Source organism: Homo sapiens, chromosome 5 (assembly GCF_000001405.40).
Source record: "Homo sapiens chromosome 5, GRCh38.p14 Primary Assembly".
Lineage (NCBI taxonomy): Eukaryota > Metazoa > Chordata > Mammalia > Primates > Hominidae > Homo > Homo sapiens.
The window spans coordinates 91604502-91625022 of record NC_000005.10 but is presented as its reverse complement, the minus strand read 5'-3'; the positions used below and the strand labels follow the sequence as shown (position 1 = coordinate 91625022).

Sequence of the window (20521 nt, the reverse complement as noted above, 5' to 3'; positions counted from 1 at the left end):
TTATCACAGCTGGAAGGAAGGCCATTTCTCCCATTCCAGCCCTGCTAGCCTCCCTACTTTACCTAAGAGTAAAAATACTCTTATAGAAAGTATTATAGAAATATAGTAGAAAGCTATACCTCATGATAAAAAGAAAACCCTTAGCAAACTAAGAACAGAGTGAGACTTCCGCATCTTGATAAAGAATATCTGGGAAAAGCCTGTAGCTAACATCATATCTAATGGTGAAAAACTAGATGTTTTCCCACTAAGGTCAGAAACAAAGCAAAGATGCTGCTCTCACCATTCCTATTCAATATCATACTCAAAGTCCTAGCTAATGTAGTAAGACAAGAAAAGGAAATAAAAGGCATACAGATTGAGAAGGAAGAAATAAACCTGTCTTTGTTCACAGACAAAATTATTTTCTACGTAGAAAATTCCAAAAAATATCAACAGACTCTTGGAACTAATAAGTGATTATAGTAAGATTGCAGGATACAAGTTGAGTACATGAAAGTCAAAAGCTTTATTTTATGCCAGTAATAAACAATTGGAATATAAAATGTAAAACACAATACCATTACATTTGCACTAAAAAAAGAGAAATACTTAGGTATAAATCTACTAAAGTATGTACAATATGTATATGAGGAAAATACAAAACACTGATAAAAGAAATTAAAGATCTAAATAAAGAGATAGTCTGTGTTCATGGATAGGAAGGCTTCATATTATCAAGATGTCAATTTTTATTTCTTTCTAACTTTTGTTTTAGGTTCAGGGGGTATATATGCATGTTTGTTACATGAGTAAACTGCATGTTATGGAGGTTTGGTGTACAGATTATTTCATCAGTTAGATACTAAGTGTAGTATCCAATAGGTAGTTTTTTGATCCTCTCCCTCTTCCTTCCTTCTTCCCTCAAGTAGTCCCTGGTTTCTGTTGTTTTCTTCTTTGTGTCCATGTGTACTTGAAGTTTAGCTCCAATTTATAAGTGAGAACATGCAGTATTTAGTTTTCTGTTCCTGCATTAATTTGCTAGGATAATGACCTCCAGCCCCATCCATGTTGCTGCAAAGGACATAATCTCATTCTTTTTTATAGCTGCATAGTATTTCATGGTGTATATGTACTACATTTTCTTTATCTAGTTCACCATTGATAGTCATATAGGTTGATTCTATGTCTTTGATACTGTGAATAGTGCTGCAATGAACATCCATGTGCATGTGTCTTTGTGGTAAAATAATTTATATTCCTTTGGGTATATACCCAGTAATGGTAGTTCTGTTTCAAGTCCCTTGAGAAATCTCTAACTGTTTTCCATACTCACTGAACTAATTTACATTCCCACCAGCAGTATGTAAATATTCCCTTTTCTCTGCAACTTTGCCAGCATCTATTAATTTTTGACTTTTTAATAATAGCCAAGATGTCAATTTTTTATAAGTTGGTCTATAGGCTCAACACAATTCAAATCAAAATACAAGCACATTATTTTGTGAACATTGACAAATTGATTCTAAAGTTTATATGGAAAGGCAATAGATCTAGATTAGACAACATAATACTGAAGAAGAACAAAGATAAAAGACTCACACACCTTATTTCAAGACTTACTAAGGTCACAATAACTAGGATACAGTGACATAGTTGAAAAAATAGACACAAACATTAAGAGAACAGAATAGAGAGTCCAGAAATAGATAAACACAAGTGTAGTCAACTGATATTTGACAAAGAAGCAAAGACAATTCTATGGAGAAAGGATAGTCTTTTCAACAAATGGTGCTAAAAAATAGATGTACATATGCAAAAATAAATAAATAAATAACCCTAGACACAAATCTTCCACCTAACACAAAAATGCATTTTAAAAAGGTTTACACAGCTAAATTTTAAATGAAAATTATAAACTTCCAGAAGATAACATAGGAGAAAATCTATGTGATCATGGGTTTGGTAGTGAGTTTTTAGATATGACACCAAAAACACAATTTATAAAAGAAAAATTGATAAATGTAGCTTTATTAAAATTAAATACTTGTGCTCTGCAAAAGACACTGTTAAGAAAATGGAAAGACAAGCAACAAACTAGGAGAGAATATTTTTGAAACATGTCGGATAAAGAACTTGTGTTCAAAATACGAAATAATCTTTTAAAACTCAACAAAAATGAAACAACCCTATTTAAAAATGGTGAAAAGATCTGAATAGACACACATCTCACCACAGGAGATAAACAGATAATAAACAAACTTATGAAAATTTCTCACCATAATTTGTCATCAGAGAGAATTACAAATTAATATAATGAGATACCACTACACAGTTTTAGAATGCCTAAAATCCAAAAATCTGACAATATCAGTGGCTGATGAGGAGCCACAAGACCTCTCATTCCCTGCTGGCAAATATGCATAATGGTAAAGCCACTTTAGAAGGCAGTTTGGCAATTTCTTACAACGTTAAAAAGAGTCTTACCATACAATCTAGCAATTGAAATATTTACCCAAATAATTTGAAAATTTATGTCCACAAAAACCAGCACACAAACATATATAGCAACTCTATTCATAATTGCCAAAACCTGAAAGCAACTAATATGTCCTTCAATAGGCAAATGGATAAACAATGGTACATAAATAAAATAGAATATTAATCAGTAAAAAAAAAAATGAGCTTTTTTATTTTTAACTTTTATGTTCAGGGGTACATGTGCAGGCTGTGCAGGTTTGTTACACTGGCGAACATGTGTCATGGGGGTTGGTTATACAGATTATTTCATCACCCAGGTATCAAGCCTAGTACTTATTAGCTGCATTTCCTGTTTCTTTCCCTCCTTGTAGTGTCCACCCTCTCGTGGGCCCCAGTGTGTGTTGTTCCCCTCTATGTGTCCATGTGTTCTCACCATTTAGCTCCCACTTATAAGTGAGAACATGCAGTATTTGGTTTTCTGTTCCTGCATTAATTTGCTAAGGATAATGGCCTCCAGCTCCATCCACATTCCTGCAAAGGACATGATCTCATTCTTTTTTTTTTGTGGCTGCATAGTATTCCATGGTGTATATGTACCACATTTTCTTTATCCACTTTATCATTGATAGGCAACAAATCAGCTTTTAAGTCACTAAAAGATATAGATGAATCTGAAACACATATTACTAGTGAAAGAAAAAAGCCAAAAAAAAAACAGTCTGATATTACATGGCATTCGGAAATAGCAAGGCTATAAAGTCAGTAAAAAGATCAGTAATTTCCAAAGGTTTGAGGAGAGGGGGTTGAATAGGTGAAGCACAGGAGATATTTTAGGGCAGTAAAATTAATCTGTATGTCACCATAGGGGTGGATACATGACACTATCCACTTGTCCAAACCATAAAATGTATAACACAAACCTAATATATGGAGTTTTGAACCCTAACATATGAGTATTTTTAAAAAATGTTAAGAATTCAAGGGACCCAAGAATGGAATGCAGAATGTACAAACGGAATGCAGAATGTACTACAAATGTATGAAACTACCTCACTGAAGAATTTGGGGGAAAGGATCCTGATCTAAGTGACTTTGGAAATGAGTGGTATCTATAAGACTAAAGATAAACAGAAATAATACATAAGCACCACAATATAGTTGGTAAGGTTTTTCCTAAGGGGATACATGTTTACAGCTCAGATATCACAATACCTGTATAGTGGAAATCAATAATTAATTAACTAAATGAATGGCAGATGAGGGGATCTAGGCTTCTCATTGTAGTAGTGGGAGGTTTCAGAGAAGACAGGGCTAAAATGACCCAGATTGTAATGGATTAAAGTTACAGACATCAGTATGAACTCATGTTTAACTAAATACAGATACAGAGGGTTACATATAGAAATGTTCATAGATAGTGTATACATGATTAGTGTACACACATGTATTTCCTTGCTTTGTCAAGAAAGAGGATCTGGAAGCAAGAACAGATCAGTAGCAATGAGCATACCTATTGCCAAGGTCTTAGTTTCTACTATCATCTTCCACTAAAAGGAACCAGGGCTCCTTGGAAACATAGCTGTTTCCATGACAGGCCAAGAAATAGATGAGTGTGGAGCATCTTGTAGTACCAGAAAGTAAAAAAGTGTTCAAAAAGAAAATCCCACGATGATTCAGGTATCTCAAAGGGACACAAGAGCCAACTGAAAGAGCTTCCAAAGCCAAAGCTGGAGCAATTCAAGTACTATAATAAATAAAGTAGTACTGGATTATAACACAAAATGTAAAATAAATATACTGATATAAATGATTCAATAAATAGATTAAACAAATTTCCCATGCAGAATAATTCCAAATAACTCATGTAGATACTTTTATAAGGGTGAAGCATAACTCCCCATTGCTATATATATATATATATATATATATATATATATATATATATATACTTTAAGTTCTAGGGTACATGTGCACAACGTGCAGGTTACATATGTGTACATGTGCCATGTTGGTTTGCTGCACCCATTAACTCGTCATTTACATTAGGTATTTCTCCTAATGCTATCCCTCCCCCAGCCCCTCATCCCACGACAGGCCCCAGTGTGTGATGTACCCACCGTGTGTCCAGGTGTTCTCATTGTTCAATTCCCACCTATAAGTGAGAACATGCGGTGTTTGGTTTTCTGTCCTTGTGATAGTTTGCTCAGAATGATGGTTTCCGGCTTCATCCATGTCCCTACAAAGGACATGAACTCATCCTTTTTTATGGCTGCATAGTATTCCATAGTGTATATGTGCCACATTTTCTTAATCCAGTCTATTATTGATGGACATTTGGGTTGGTGCAAGCCTTTGCTATTGTGAATAGTGCCACAATAAACATACGTGTGCATGTGTCTTTATAGTAGCATGATTTATAATCCTTTGGATATATACCCAGTAATGGGATGGCTGGGTCAAAAGGTATTTCTAGTTCCAGATCCTTGAGGAATTGCCACACTGTCTTCCACAATGGTTGAACTAGTTTACACTCCCACCAACAGTGTAAAAGCGTTCTTATTTCTCCACATCCTCTCCAGCACCTGTTGTTTCCTGACTTTTTAATGATCATCATTCTAACTGGTGTGAGATGGTATGTCATTGTAGTTTTGATTTGCATTTCTCTGATGACAAGTGATGATGAGCATTTTTTCATGTGTCTGTTGGCTGCATAAATGTCTTCTTTTGAAAAGTGTCTGTTCATATCCTTTGCCCACTTTTTGATGCTCCCCATTCCTTAAATGTGAGCTGTGCATAATAACTTTCTTCCAAAGGATGCAGTTAAAAAAAAAAAAAAAAGCAAGTGGACAGTAGAGTAACTTTACAGTGAAGAAATAAGACAAACACCACCTCAACCAGGTGACTAAGGTGAACTTCAACAGTGATAACTCATATTGATAACATTAAAAGATAAACTCAGGCACATTAAAATGTCAATGAGTTTATTTGAACATTCAGTGATTCACGAATCAGGCAGCACCAGGCCATAGGCAGTTCTATGCTCCACTTGGAGGAGAGGGAAGCAAGAGACAGAAAAATTTTACAAGGTATAATCAAGACAAAGAAATTTGACTGGTTAAAGTGGGATGTCCCTAGTTAGAAGATAGTTGGTAGTTTCTGATTGGTAAAATTTAAGTTTGGTTTTACTGTTTACACTGGGCTTACATTTGCTTACCTAAGAATTCAAGGTGGTGGAGCTGGCCTCCCAATGAAAACTTTTTTTAACAATTGTACATACTCTTGATGTGATATGATGTAATGTAACTGGGACTTTACCTTTCTGATCTGCCTCCCAAAAACATATATCATCAGCTTAATCATGAAAAAAAAATCAGAATTCTCAGGTGAGGGACATGCTACAAAATACCTGACCAGTATTCCTCAAAACTGTTATGGACATCAAAAGCCAGAAAAGTCTTAGAGAGTGTCACAGCCATAAGGAGCCCAAGGAGACACGATGACTAAACATATTGTGACACCCTGAATTACAGCTGGAACAGAAAGAGGAAATTTGAATACAATATAGACTTTAGTTAATAACATCATATAGATATTTGTTCATTAACTGTAACAAATGTACCATGCTAATGTAAGAATTTAATAATAAAGAAAACTGGGCACGGGATATATGGGAACTCTGTGCTATCTCCATAATTTTTCTGCAAATATAAAACTATTATAAAATTTTAAAATTGTTATTTTAAAAAAGGCACGCTTAGCAGTAGGTAAGACTAACTATGCCCTAAGTGTTATCAAACACATTCTTTTAAAAGCACTCTGCTGAACAACGGGAGCAAGCCCAGCCCAGCAAAGATTAGGTGAGGGTCTTGCCACAACATCCTATTGTCCCAATTGGCTTCAAGGTTGTGGCTCCTTAAAAAAGGGAGAAAAGAAGGTCAGAGCATAGAAGCCAACTCCCGAGAGCCAAATTTATCAGGTTTAAAACAACATCCAAACAAGATCTTTAGCTTTGTGTCCTAACAGGTAGAAACATACTGATTTCTTATTCAAGTTTGTAGGGAACTGAACTACTAAACAAACAAGATAGCAAAGAACTGCTTGCAACTGTGCACTCTGTAAAGGAATCCACAGGCCTCCAGATCTGCAGCAGTAGGAAGTGGGATGAAAGATGCACAACCACCCAGGGGACACACTCTCCAAAACTCAGATGTGGCCATCATAAGCATCAAGCTCCTCACACAAAGCAGGACCTACTAGAACAAGAAGCCTCCCTGCTCTTTTCCAAGCACTTTTAAAGGAATGTGCTTGACAATGCATAGGGCATAGTTTCATCTACTGCCAAGCCTTCTTTTTTTTAACAATTTTAAAATTTTACAATAGTTTTATATTTACAACCTCTTCTATATTTACCATCTTGATTTTTGTTACGAACCAGTGACTGCTGTGTGTTTCCCTTGTCTCCTTTTGAATTGGGACTTTTTTAATGTAGTAATTGTGCACTGACTTAAGCCAATGTGGTCATTCACAATTGTTAGATTCTTTTTGTTAAGTTTCTTTGGCCTCCATTGGCTATAAGTACATAAGAACTAAATGTTCATCTCTCACAACTGTGCAAGACTGAGATCAAATTCTGCCAAACATGTATTTTAGTATGTACTTTTTTTTTTTTTTACAACCGTTTCTGTAAAGGCAATGAAGTTTTCGTTCTCATTCCTTTTAGATGTTCTGGCCAAACCATGCATGAAAGGATCAATGGAAATAAATAAATAAATATTCTAGCAGAAATAAATGAATAAATATTCTAGGATTCTGTATACTGCTAGTTGGATTAAGTCAATGAGCTCCACCATGTATGTCTAAACATAGGACTATACAGAATCCAGGGCTTACAATGCCATTCTGAAGGGAAGTGGAAACAAATTAAAAGGAATATACTACTGAGGCCACTAGATTCTTAGACCCTGTTCATGCAAGGCCAGAGGTGAGTGTGTAACATTTCTCGAAAGTGCACATATCTTAAACATCACTTATTTCACGAATGAATAATCATTTCTAAAGTCGATTATCTTAATTAATACATCCTTTGTTGGTGGTGAGATAAAGATAATTGAAGGGCTTATCATAGCTGCAGGAGTGGGAGTGAGTTCTAGCAGAGACAATGCCAAATAGAGTGCTTCAAATGTTAACCGATTACCATAAAATATATATTAAAACTGACATACATATATATATCACCATGCTTTAAATAAAGAATTTTCAGTCAAATTGTATATCTGATTTGTCTTTACCACTGTGTATCGGGCATGTAGGGAACAGATCAGTTTTGGTTTTAGGTAGATCAGTCATGGGGAAAAAAATTTGAAGAAAAGTATTCATCACCTAGAAATCCTAGGCTTAAAATTTGATGCGATAAGAAGAGATTTAGGGACTGTCTCCTTTGGAGAAAAGAGGGGTTCTCTAGTCTCCCAGCATTATTCATTTCTTTAATAGGAGAATAAACCTATAGATAGGGATTCTGTCTTATATCTCAACATTCTGTAGCCAATAAGTGGAATACTACTTTTAGCCAAGGATATTACTTTTCCTAAATGACTTGAGCAGTTGCTTCAGAAGTCTTCTGGCATTCATAAAGGAATAATAGAGCCTAAAGGACAATACACACACAGTCTTGTTGAAACAATTATTAAAATTGGGCTACTAGAAAGACACTTTAACACTAATGTCAATATAATAGCTACATAATGCCAAATACATAACTGCATAAAGGATATTTTATATGTAATTTTAGAAAGTTGTGATTTGCTACCTCACTTCATCCAGGTCTCTACTCAAATGACATCATCTCATTAGGCCTTCCTTGGCCACCTTATCTAAAACATACTGTCCCCAATATTCTCTTTGCCCCTTTTCTACATTATTATTTTCTTAGCACTTATTACTATGTATTACACCATATCACCATATTTTTTAGTTATCAATCTTGTTTATTGTCATATAACTTCCTTGAGAGCAGGACTCTTTGTCTATTGGGTTCACTATTATATTCACAGGGCCATATCAGTGCCTGACACATAGTAGTAGCTACTCAGATATTGAATGAATTAATTACTGTTCATTAAAATTTCACAATATTTTTCTCTTGTGGGTGAAATGATAGAACATCATTGTGACATTATTTATTTCAGTAGAATAAACAGAAAAAATACAAGGATATTTTTAAATTAGAAAAGTCAATATCGTGAAAATTTGCCTAATGGACAAATGGTGATAGACAAGAAAATAAAGATCTGGAGAAAGTATGTTCAGGTATAAAAGTAATGGTGTTACTAACAATAGATTTGTTATTTTTCTCATTTTTCTCTTAAAACAGATATCATTACTCAAATCAAATTAGCTCAATGGTGTACCTTTTATACTAAGAATTGATTTTTTTAATTAAAGAAAATCAAAATAAATCTTAATATATATTAGCTTTATACAATAATTTTTCTTCAATTACATAGGAGTACATTATTAAAAGGGTGCTAATAATTATTCATTTAGCTACTCTCTGTAATAACAAGATACAGACTCAAAGCTCAGAATGCTACAGAAAGGACATTTTTAATAAAATAAGAAAAGAAGATGATATGGTTTGGCTGTGTCCGCACCCAAATCTCATCTCAAATTGTAGTTCCCATAATCCCCACATGTTGTGGGAGGAACCCAGTGGGAAGTAACTGAATCATGGGGGCGGTTTCCCCCATGCTACTCTTGTAATAGTGAGTAAGTTCTCACATGATCTGATGGTTTTATAAGGGGCTTCCCCCTTCACTTGGCTCTCATTCTTCTCCTTCCTCCCACCATGTGAAGAAGGACATGTTTGCTTCCCCTTTTGCCATGATTATAAGTTTCCTGAGCCCTCTCCAGCGCTATGGAACTGGGAGTCACTTAAACCTCTTTTCTTTATAAATTACCTAGTCTCAGGTATGTCCTTATAGCAGCATGAGAACATACTAATACAGATGATAAACTATGGTTTGACCAAAGGCCTAAGTAAACAACATGTTCCAACTCGAGAAATTAAAAAACATTTCTTCTCTCTGTTTCCCACTAATACTCTTATTACTATATGCAGAGTAAGAAAATGTCAACATAAAACATAAACATAGACTCTACTTATGAAACAAACATTTATCTTGATGATAAAAACTGAGAGGGAGGCAATGTAATGTAACTAAGAGTGGAATTACTTTGAAATTATAATGTCAGTTTGTCACTCATTAGCTTCGTAATCTTGGGAATTTTACTTTACATCTTTGAATTAGAGTCTCAGTTTAGTCCTCTGCAAATGGAGAGAAGAGTTTGGATATCATATTTGGCTCTGCAGCTTATTATAAGGACTAATGATATAATGTCCAACAAGTGCTGGGCATGGTGTCTATATACATTATTTCATTAACAAACTGTATCTCTATTTAATCAGTCTGCATCTAAAACACAAATCCTCAAACAAATGCATATCCTTTGCTGTACTGAAGGCATAGGTTAATGAGAAAGTGCTAGAGTTATAGTCAAAAGACTTTCATATTGGTAAATTCTATTACGTGAATAAGATACTTTATGAAAACTTTATTCAACCTATCTATAATAAATCAAGAATGTTCCCTTAATAGCTAGTGGCTTATCCCCAAGGAAAGAAAGAAGTTTATTTTAAAGATAAGAAAATAGAAATGAAAAAATATTTAGAATGCAATAAATTATAGATTGCATAGAAAACAGAAAATAAAAGGTGAGTATCTGTAAAACATGTAGGGACCCTTAAAATGAAACAAAACACAAATACTAGGATCGAGCATTAGTATGCATTCATTTTCTTGGAGGTAGACCTATATAGAGCTATCCTTGTAAAAGTTATCTGACCCCTTTTTATGCAACCTAGAGTCTATATCAAATTTCTCATTCATATTTATTCATTCTTCTTTTTGAAATGTGTCTGATGTGTCTGATATCATATATCATACTGGAAGATTTAATCCCTGATATGGTTTGGATTTGTGTCCTCACCCTCATCTGATGTCATCCCCAGTGTTGGAGGAAAGGCCTGGTGGGCGGTGATTGGATCACGGAGGCAGACTTCCCCCTTGCTGTTCTCATGATAGGGAGTGAGTTCTCATGAGATCTGGTTCTTTAAAAGTGTCTGACGCTTCCCTCTTTGCTCTCTTCCTCCTGCTCCGGCCATATATGTGTTTGCTTCCCCTTCCATTATGATTGAAAGTTTCCTGAGGCCTCCCCAGCCATGTTTCCTGTACAGCCTGCAGAAGCATGAGCTAATTAAACCTCTTTTCTTTACAAATTACCCAGTTTCAGGTATTTCTTTATAGCAGTGCCAGAATGGACTAATACAATACCCAACTAAATAATCCATTTTTGTAGGTAGAATCCTAGGGGCAATTATAACAACATTTTGGTCATGTAAGACTGAACTCATTAAAGGGACACTTTTGTTTTATGTTGTTTTGCTTCTGTTTTTAATGCTTTAACATACAGAGCCCTGTCTACACTACCCTGCAACTATTAAATCTTTATAATAGAGATGCTTCTGCTTTTTTAAAAAAATTCAGACTTTACCTATACAGCAACATTGACTGATGAGATATCTACTTTTTTCTTGTTCCAAGTTCTTTGTATTCTTTCTTACAGATGGAAAGTGTTCCTTGTGCCAGTTGCCACTTGCAAAAAAGAAAAAGGATTCTTAGATCAAAAGCTATTGATCACAATTCCAAAGTCAATGTCACATTTCTCATCCCCTGCACCAAAGAACACTGGCTAATTTGCAAGCAAGTAAACCGGACTCCAAGGCCAAGCTATTATCACAATCAAAAACTGTGTTTAGCATCAACAATAATTCACAAAAGATTTCTTAGTACTGATGATAAATCAGCTCATTTTGGGCAAACACTGTTAATGCCTTAAGGAACACAACTTAACTGACAATTGTAGTTTATGATAATAAATTCCATTATAGCCAAGTACATTTTTAACTTGTGGTGTTTTTTCTTAGTACTAAGCCATTATTCCTTCAGCAAATGTCTTTGAAAAAGGGATTTTAATATGGCTGAGACTTAAGGCTCAAGGACTCTATAAAAGTAGTTAAGAATCATGAGAGGTATTTTAGAAAGGAAAGAAAGTCTCAATCCTACCTCTGCACATTTAAAACAGGTCTAAAGTTCAGGGCTCCCTTTCCCCAATTTGATTGAAGTTTCAGTGCCCCTTCAAAGATGCTGAGAGGTATATACAAGCATCCAATTTCTGAGAGTGAGATTAAAAGTAATGTCAGACTTACTTCTCTTTCCTTTCAACTTTTCTGCTTTCATTGAGTCACAGCCCAGTGGAAGACACAGAAAGCAGTTATAATAAAGTGCTATACGAGCTAAGATGTGGACTACATATCTGGTATAGGGCCCCCTTCAGCGGATAAATCTCAAAGGAGACGAGAATGCCATTTGAGGGTGAGGTTAAAATTTTCTTTCAACATATGGGCTTTCCAAACCCATCTCAAAGGCTGTCTCTCACATAAAATCCCAAGGCTTTTTTTTCTACCTAAAGTTCCTTATAGCATGTTGATAAGCATCAGATAGTTCTTTATTTTGAATATATTGTGGTAACTTCTTTGCCAGGAACCACTTCATTTCCCTTTTCTCTTATGCTCATAACAATAATATATCCCAGAAGTGAATCCTAGAATAGATACCATAAATTAGGAAGGACATTACCTCACATTAATTCTAAATAGATAGCGTTATTGTCCAATTTAATAAAATTTGGTAACCTGATTTGAGAATCATGACCATTCTAAAAATCATAAAAGGAAACTTTTTACCAAACCAGAAAATAAGTGGAATCAAATGACATTAAATACGGTAGCTTGAACAGTGCGGGGACCTCAGTTCTTTGGTGATCAATCACCAGGTCATTTTTCCAGGGAAGACTTTAAGACGATACATTCTCAAGGCTCTTTATTTCACTCTTTTCTGGGTATCAGAAGTCAATCCTCGCATTATGAAATAAAACTTGTTTCCTTAGCTAGAGCCACAGTTGATTGTTGCATAACAGACTAATCTGCTGCTAAAAAATTCATTTGGGCTGATGTATTAGAGCCACTGTTTTGATTCCTGCATAATCTCTAACCTATTTATTGAACTCACCTAGGATAATGGCAAAGTGACTCATCTGCCTTTACTTACACGCAACCAGACCATTTTTATAACCAACAGGCAGTATTTCTTTATATAACAACCTTTATAAACAAGGTTGAATGTTAGAAAGGAAGGATCTGGAGAAAAATGGGAAAGGAATCAAGATTTTTAAAATATTTATTTAACCACACTATTTTATTGTTACTAATTTTAGAATTAGATTAACACGTGAAAGGAAATCATTATGGTCAATGTTAATTCTTATCCACAGCTACCCTGTTGATTAAAGCTGCCATTATGGGTGTGTGTGTTTTCACATAAAAGATGTGTAATGTGAAAAATGGAAAATATTTCATAGTGTTGCTGGACAGATGGATGTGCTAATAATTCGGGTCAGCACACATGCCCTCGTTCAGCAGCTCTGGGTGCACTGTGATGTTTAGGAATGCTGTTTTGAAAGGTGGGGCAAGAGGTCTGCCCTTGCATACATAAAAGTACAGTACCAAGCAACTAAATGATAATTACCCCTTTCCATTCCCATTCCTTATAAAAGAATAAGCTATTTGTTGTAGAAAAATTACCTACATGCATGGAATGTGCAGGGAGAAATGAGTGAGGACCATAAATATTACTAAGTACTTATACTACCCTAGTGTCATAAAATTATAGACATGTATAGTAAAGGCTTAGCATCTGAAACCAGTGCTGCCCACATAAAAGACACCTAACATGGTTTTTGTTTCTATGCATTTGTATAACTTGTTACCTGCATATTGTGTGTAAAGCTTAACTTCATATATACCTGCTCAACAGAGTCTAAGTGATTTGGGAGCATGATGAGATGGAAAGTAAGAGCTGGTAACACTCTATACTAGATCTCATGCCCATACCTTGCTAGTATTCTTGCTGGTTTTTCTGACCAATTTTTAATGTCCTTATGGCCTCTTGTTTCCTATTCTTTTTATTTACCTATCCTAGTTCTATATCTCAGGCAGAAAGTGACATGTTTGTTTTCTAAAAAACAAAAATATTTAAGAGGCTCTCTATAAATACGTGTGTAGCATAGTTGAAAAATTGCATCAATAAATTAAAATGCACTCTTATGAAATTCTTATATTCAAAAAAGAATAAACTTGGGAAAAATAAAAGAGAAAGTCATTTTCAAACTGTTGAGATGTTCTAAAAAAAATTTCTAAAGGTCAACATTGCCGACTCAGTGCATGCTGTCGTTATTTTCTTTTATCTTGCTCTGTGGTAGTTGAGGGTACACATTTTTCTTTCCTTCTTTTAAAGACATTTAAAAAGCAGTGTTCCAGTTTCACAGCCAGCATCTTCACACCATTCAAAAGACATACAGTCAATCATAACCCCAAACAGGAAGGAGAGGGTTAGTTTTCACTTAAGTAAAGTTTAGTGAAAAGCCAACAGATCAGTGTGATTATGGCTAGATCAATGATGCATAGTTCTGAAAGGTTTTACACAAGCAGCAGTCTTAGGATGTAGCTCTAAGGAGCAGGTAGGTCAGGAAAAACATAAACGCAATGCCCCGAGTATGTACCTCCCATTGGGTCCATAAAGAATCTGGCCAGATTGTCTGAAGGGAAGCCATTCTTGCCACAGGGGCAGAGTTGAAGTGTTTCCATTTCCGCTGACTGCATTTCAGCCTTGAGTATGTCAGCCAAGGTTTTCTGCTGGTCAAAGTCACAAAAAGTCTGGTCGATATCTTTTATGAGGAATGACAAATGTAAAAAGATAAACTCTACTGTGTCAGATAAACTATATAGGTTTTTACTAGATCCCAAGCAAGGATTTAACAATGTGTAGTCAATTTCAAAGTCTTCTGCTAATTCAAGGAAACAAAAGTCTCTCCCCAAAAAGGTTCCTTCCAGGCTGGAGTCTGTTATGTTCAGGCTATGGAAACCTTGAAAGCTGTCCTTTTTAGATATAAACTGTTTAAAAAGAAGTTTCTGGTGACTTGTCAGATAAATGGGAACCATGTCAAAGCATTGCTCAGAAAAGTTCAATTTTAAATAATCTACTTATGGCAGAATAATTGTGGAGCTTTTCTTATTGACTTTCCAAAAACCCACCACTTTTTGGAAAGGGAGCTTTGTTTTTAATACAGCAACAATACCAGTTTCAAGAGTAAACTCTAGTGGATCTCATCTGTAATTAGTAGAAAAATTCACTGTTCACTTTACCTTGGTGTGTTCCAAACTATCTCTGGATGGGGGTATTTATTCTAGCAGAAATTTGAATGAGAATCTACTTACTTTGTTTGAACATTAAAAAAATTACAAATTCCCCACCCATGTTAGCAATAAACAACTATTTTTGCATATGTCTTAATTGAGGTTCTTATTTGGTCTTTTCCTTAAAGAGCTATAGTACTGAGCAAAGTGTTTTGTTTTGTTTTGTTTTGTTTTCTCTCTTTTTCTTCTTTCTTTTCCTCTTCTTCTTCCTCTCCTTCCCTTCCTTCTTTCAATACTGAATTTGGAGTTTCAATATTTCTGTTTTCAATAAATTATAATTTCATTGTATTTTGATCACCAACCTCATTTTAAAATAATTTCCATTTGGAATCTACATAAAGACATCAAAAAGATTATGAAAGGGTCTCCAGTACATGCTGCATGAATTCAAATCACAGCTATGTCACTAACTTACTATGTGACCTTACACAGTCACTTCTCTACCGAGTTTGGTTACATCTAAAATACCACAAAAATAACTTGTTTGCTAGTATGAACTGCAGAATAAGTAATAGTTACATTTAGTTGGTACTCAAAGAAACAAATTCTCGTTAAATTTTTTTATTAAGCATAACCTTAGAATATCAGTATTTGTAAGCTGATTATCTTTCTTTTGTTTGGCCTGCACAAAACTAGTTTGTACTGTATTATGTGAGTTAAATAAATTGTACATTGGTACCCCCAAGTGCCAAAGTAAACTTCAAGGTTCTTGTGCATATATAGCCTGCCTGTGCTCAAGATAACAGTAAAACAAAAAATGGCTGCTATACAGGTGTCCTTAGTAATAAAGAAAAAGAAATATGTGATACAAAACCAAAGTAGTCTTTTAAAAGAATGTTTTCCATATTTTCCAAGCTTCAGCAGCTTTCACAGAAAGATTTCAGGGGCTACACACCCCGTAGAATGCATCAAATCAAAAGGATTGACCATTAAGTTTAGCAGCATGATTCATTTTATCAACTTCCCTCAGCCTTCTAATATTCCTTTTCAAAAATTGTGCAAAGTGTGTGAGACTGTGTGGATGTTACTGTATTAAATTACACCATTATACCTTAGAAGGAAGGTTTTCTGTTATTCAAGCAAGGAATCATCTTTGCTCAACCGTGATGGATTCACAACTAGCTAATCTAGAATTCTAAGATTAAACATAAGCCAGTCAAAACCTTTAGTGATGAAAAAATTACGAAGAGTTTTACTGATGTAATATCCTGAGCCCAGAATAATATGAAATTTTGGAAAGAAAAGAAAGACCTTGTAGCTATTTATGTAGTTTCTTGCAATAAAATAATTGCAGTAATATAAAGTTAAGCACATAGAAGCCACTGAAATTTAAAACAAAGACGATTTTCTAATTTGTGGCTAAAATTTTAAAATTTAGCTCTTGTTCCATGAATTAAATTAATTTTAATTATACTCCTGGATAAAGTAGGTCTATAAAGAAGCTGTCAAACTATTGTCAATAGTTTAGGTACATGCAGTAGATCAGAAGATAATCAGCTTAGGACTTCTTATAAAATATTTTAATTTTTATTGTCTTTATGCTCACATGTACTGCTATACTCTCTTCCAAAGCTTTTCCCTTTTATAAAATTGAGAAATTTATTTAGCTGTAATGTTTTTCTTTCCCAAGTAACATAACTCACATATCCTAAGATTGTCTTTTACTGTGATTTCTTCCAATAATGTCGAGTAAAAATTCAACATCGGCAAAAAGAATGGTTAAGTCAAAGAATCCTAGAAAAATCAGATATTTTACTACTGCAGACAAATCAATTGCCAAAATAATGATTCATAAACAAGAAATAATATAAAACAAATTGCTTTTTCAAATAGATATTGAAGTCAGGAAACAATTCATGCTTAGAACTTAGAAATATTAGTCACAACACTGTGACCTCTCACCTTAAGTGATAAAATATACAGGTCAGAATAGACAATATATACTCATGTCTGATCATGGGTGCTATTTATTGATCAAAGGAGGGAAAAAAAAGTACTTTCTAGGAAAAACATTGCTCTGAATTACAAACATCCATTCTCTTGAGACTCAGCAACTCTCTGGGTTTCTCCCTCTGGAACTAGAAGCAAGAAGTGAGTTCAGCCAGCATTTAATATCAAGTGAATGTGTTTAATCAATAGTCTTCTGCTTTGTTCCTCATTGTGGAAAGCAGTGTCTATTCATTCAGCAAAGGTTAATGCCAAGGGTCAAGTGATTTCACACTCTCAGTAGGATCCACAACATTTCAGTAGTTCAGATGCCTTAGACAATGATGACTCAGTTGGACTGATTTATTGCCACTCTAAGGCCCTGCTTAATACTAAAGTGCTCTCTTATGATAATACCTCAGAAAATAGCACTGATAAAAGAGGAGGCAATAATTACCTACATTTTGAGGTAATGTCTTCATTTCTAACATCCTATAAAGATGTAAGGTCCATTTAAAATGATCTGCTTCTTGTATTAGCAAGCCATTTAAACAAGATCTTATCAGCATCTTCTCCTTTATGAAATACACTATGGAAGAAATTTAGTAGCCCTATGAAACAGATGTAAATTATAAGTAATACATGATTTAACATATGTTTTAGATAATACTTTTTAAATATTTCCTTATTGCAGTATTTTTAATATCAGACAAGAAAAAGAAAATAATATTTGCAGATGGGAGGGAAAATATGACTTACTATCGTCATCTCAAACAAGGAAGACACAGTTTACAATTTCATTTCTCTCTCTTTGACCAATTCTAGCACAAGACAGGCAGGCTAAAAAGACATGCCTATATATTCTTTCTAAATGTGATTCACTTAAAGCAGAATTAGTTGAGGTCATTGTTTTAAACCAGAACATATTTGACTATGTCAGGGGTCCAATCTTTAACATGTTCGCATCCATGTTTATTATTCAGCAATGTATCATTCCAGATGTGTTTTATATAATGAAAGAAGTTCAAATGTCACCAGGAAAACAGTGTGAGAAGAATTAATTGGAAAGCTTATCATAGGAAAGTCATTTAGAATCCAGCTTTCACTAATATATCTGTGGATGATGAATATACCAATCAATTAGTAAAATAAAATAAATTCTGTAAATTTATCTAAAGACATCCTATCATAACAACTAGAAGGATATTTAAAACAGTTTATTACATTCCATCCTAGATAATATGTAAAACACTCTAATATGAATTTTCTGCCTTTCACTCCCTTTTTTCACAGTAGGTACAGTATTCAGGAATCTTAATTCAAACTATTTAAAACTGACTAGAATTTTTACTTCACACTATTTTAAACAAACTATTTTAAGCGATCATCAAGGTATATGTAAAATGTTATAGGGGAGTTAACAAGAAACTTTTTTATGTTTATAAAACTCAAAAACTTATTTTTAATTTTCAATGATGAGTTTGCCTTAATAAATAGAATGGGTAACAATCAGTAATTTTGATGTGAACATCAGTTTCATTGCTCAGTGATCACCTATATGATGTCCAAAGGCTTAAATTTACCTTTTAACTATACTTATCTTCAAAAGATAATGACTTTTCTGCAATTCTTTCCCAATGAGAATGATTTTATAGGCTACATATTTTATGACCTATAATTTAAAAGAAGGAAATATAATAACAAAGCTTTTGAAAAAAGGAGCAATTAAACAAACCAAATACATTGGCTTATTCTTAACAAAAATGGTATTCGTGACCTAACTAAAGACAAAATTCTATGAGTTTAGAAGACTGAAAGTTTCAAGAATCTTCCGAAAGTGTTTTTCACAATAACTTTCTCATACAGTCTTTGTCAGTCTACAGATATTTACTGGGAAGTGCAGTTTAATTAATTCAGATGTGGATAAAACAAGTAGCCTAAAATGAAAGTATGTGCATGTCTAATTTTGCACTTCAAAAACTATTAAATAAATTACAACTAATGTGATTTTGAATAACCCATAAAATATTTGCATACCTTGAGTTTTGCAACTGTGTTTAACATGCATATAATGGCCAGAACAAATGTGTTACATTGTTATTTTGTCTGTAATTATAAGGCATAAAATATAGGCAAATATTCAAACATCACTATGACTGAGAAATAATATATTTGAGTTTATTTCTTCCTTCAACAGTAATTATGTCTGCAAATCATGCCAAAGTATAAATAGACAATGTGCATGGTCATTTTTTCGACTCTTCTCCTATGTGTTCATATGTATAGAGAAATAAAAAGAAGATATATATAAATTTCTGTTAATGTAGCTCTTATCTTAGAAATTTAAACACTATTCAGAACTTAAAAAAAAATTAATGTCTTCTTTCAGACTTGCATGCTCATCAGCTGTAATTCAAAATCCTTTAATGCTGATTTCAGTGCCTTATATGGGAATTATCTTGAGTACTGTACTTCTTTCAATAGAAATATCATGTAGGTCAGGATGGCAAGCTTAATGGACTGATTTTTTTTCATAATTGTTGTGGAACATGTCTAACTCCCTTCAATATATCTATTTCAAAATATCTAAATAGAAAAAAGGGAAAAGGACCATCTTTTTCTTCACATTTTTCATGAAATCTTTATTCGAGGACCCAAACCATCATTGTAATGACATTGCCAGATATTCTGATGAAATGAATTTTCTGTGACAAGGGTGACTAAAGAGTCACAAGATGATAAAAAAAGTTTAAGACTTTTTATTCAATACAAAGACACCACAGGTTCACTTTAAAAATTTTTTTTAAATCAGATAAGCAAAAAAGAAAACTAAAAGACATTTCATCTTACTATTTATCCATGCATCCAGTCTTTTATACATGTGTGTAGTCAGCGACAGACATATACATCCTACATATATGTATATGTAGATATATACTAGTATCTAATGTGTTCATAGTGAGGTAAGAGTGGTACATATTATTTTATAATTTAGTTTTTACAATATGCTAGGAATATCTTTACATATTCTTATTTATTATTCTGTATTACATTAATGATTATATCAAATTTCATTTTATTTATCCACCATGGTAATTTAGCCATTTTTCCTCCTAACAACCATTTTTTCTTTTATTACTTTTATAAATTAGCCTTTGGTAAACATGTTTCAACACAATTTATATAGTATATCAAAGAACTCAAAAGTGAAATTTGACAGAATTTACTGTGAAGTAAATTTTATTTATATCCCAACATAATGTTGGTTCATGAGTTTTATTTGCTTTGTTTTAAATCAATAATTATCCAAGCTATATCTAGATATAGCTTAAAAGACTACTGAATTGACCTAACTAAAAGAAAAATAAGATTTATTATGTTTATCTTTAACCTGGTATTACAAATTAGATATTCCATTTACATAGTTGAGTAAATAAAAATGTTTGGGGGTTTAGGAAGAAGCCTAGGCTTTTTAAAAAATAATTTCAACTTTTATTTTAGATTCAGGGGGTACATGTACAGCTTTCTTACACGGGTCAAATTAATGCAGGAACAGAAAAACAAATACCGTATGTCCTCATGTACAAGCAGGAGCTAACCATTGGGTACACATGGATAAAGATGGCATAGGCTTTTAACAGGTAGGATTTTTTTTGGTTCATTAAAAATAAAATGTTGTCACAGCATGGTTTGTCAGGGGCTCTC

At 33.7% G+C, this 20521-nt stretch overlaps 1 long non-coding RNA gene across 2 annotated transcripts; it reads right to left on the bottom strand.

The window, feature by feature from the left end:
• Window positions 1–5424: 5424 nt before the first annotated feature.
• LOC107986434 (uncharacterized) lies at window positions 5425–20317 on the bottom strand. Of its 2 annotated transcripts, XR_001742804.2 has the most exons (3): window positions 17278–20317; window positions 14197–14326; window positions 5425–11751 (listed from the first exon to the last, which is right to left on the bottom strand). It is a non-coding gene; the product is annotated as an uncharacterized LOC107986434 (long non-coding RNA). The 2 variants fall into 2 exon arrangements; XR_007058864.1 differs by having other exon boundaries at window positions 14197–20317.
• Between the last annotated feature and the right edge of the window lie 204 nt (window positions 20318–20521).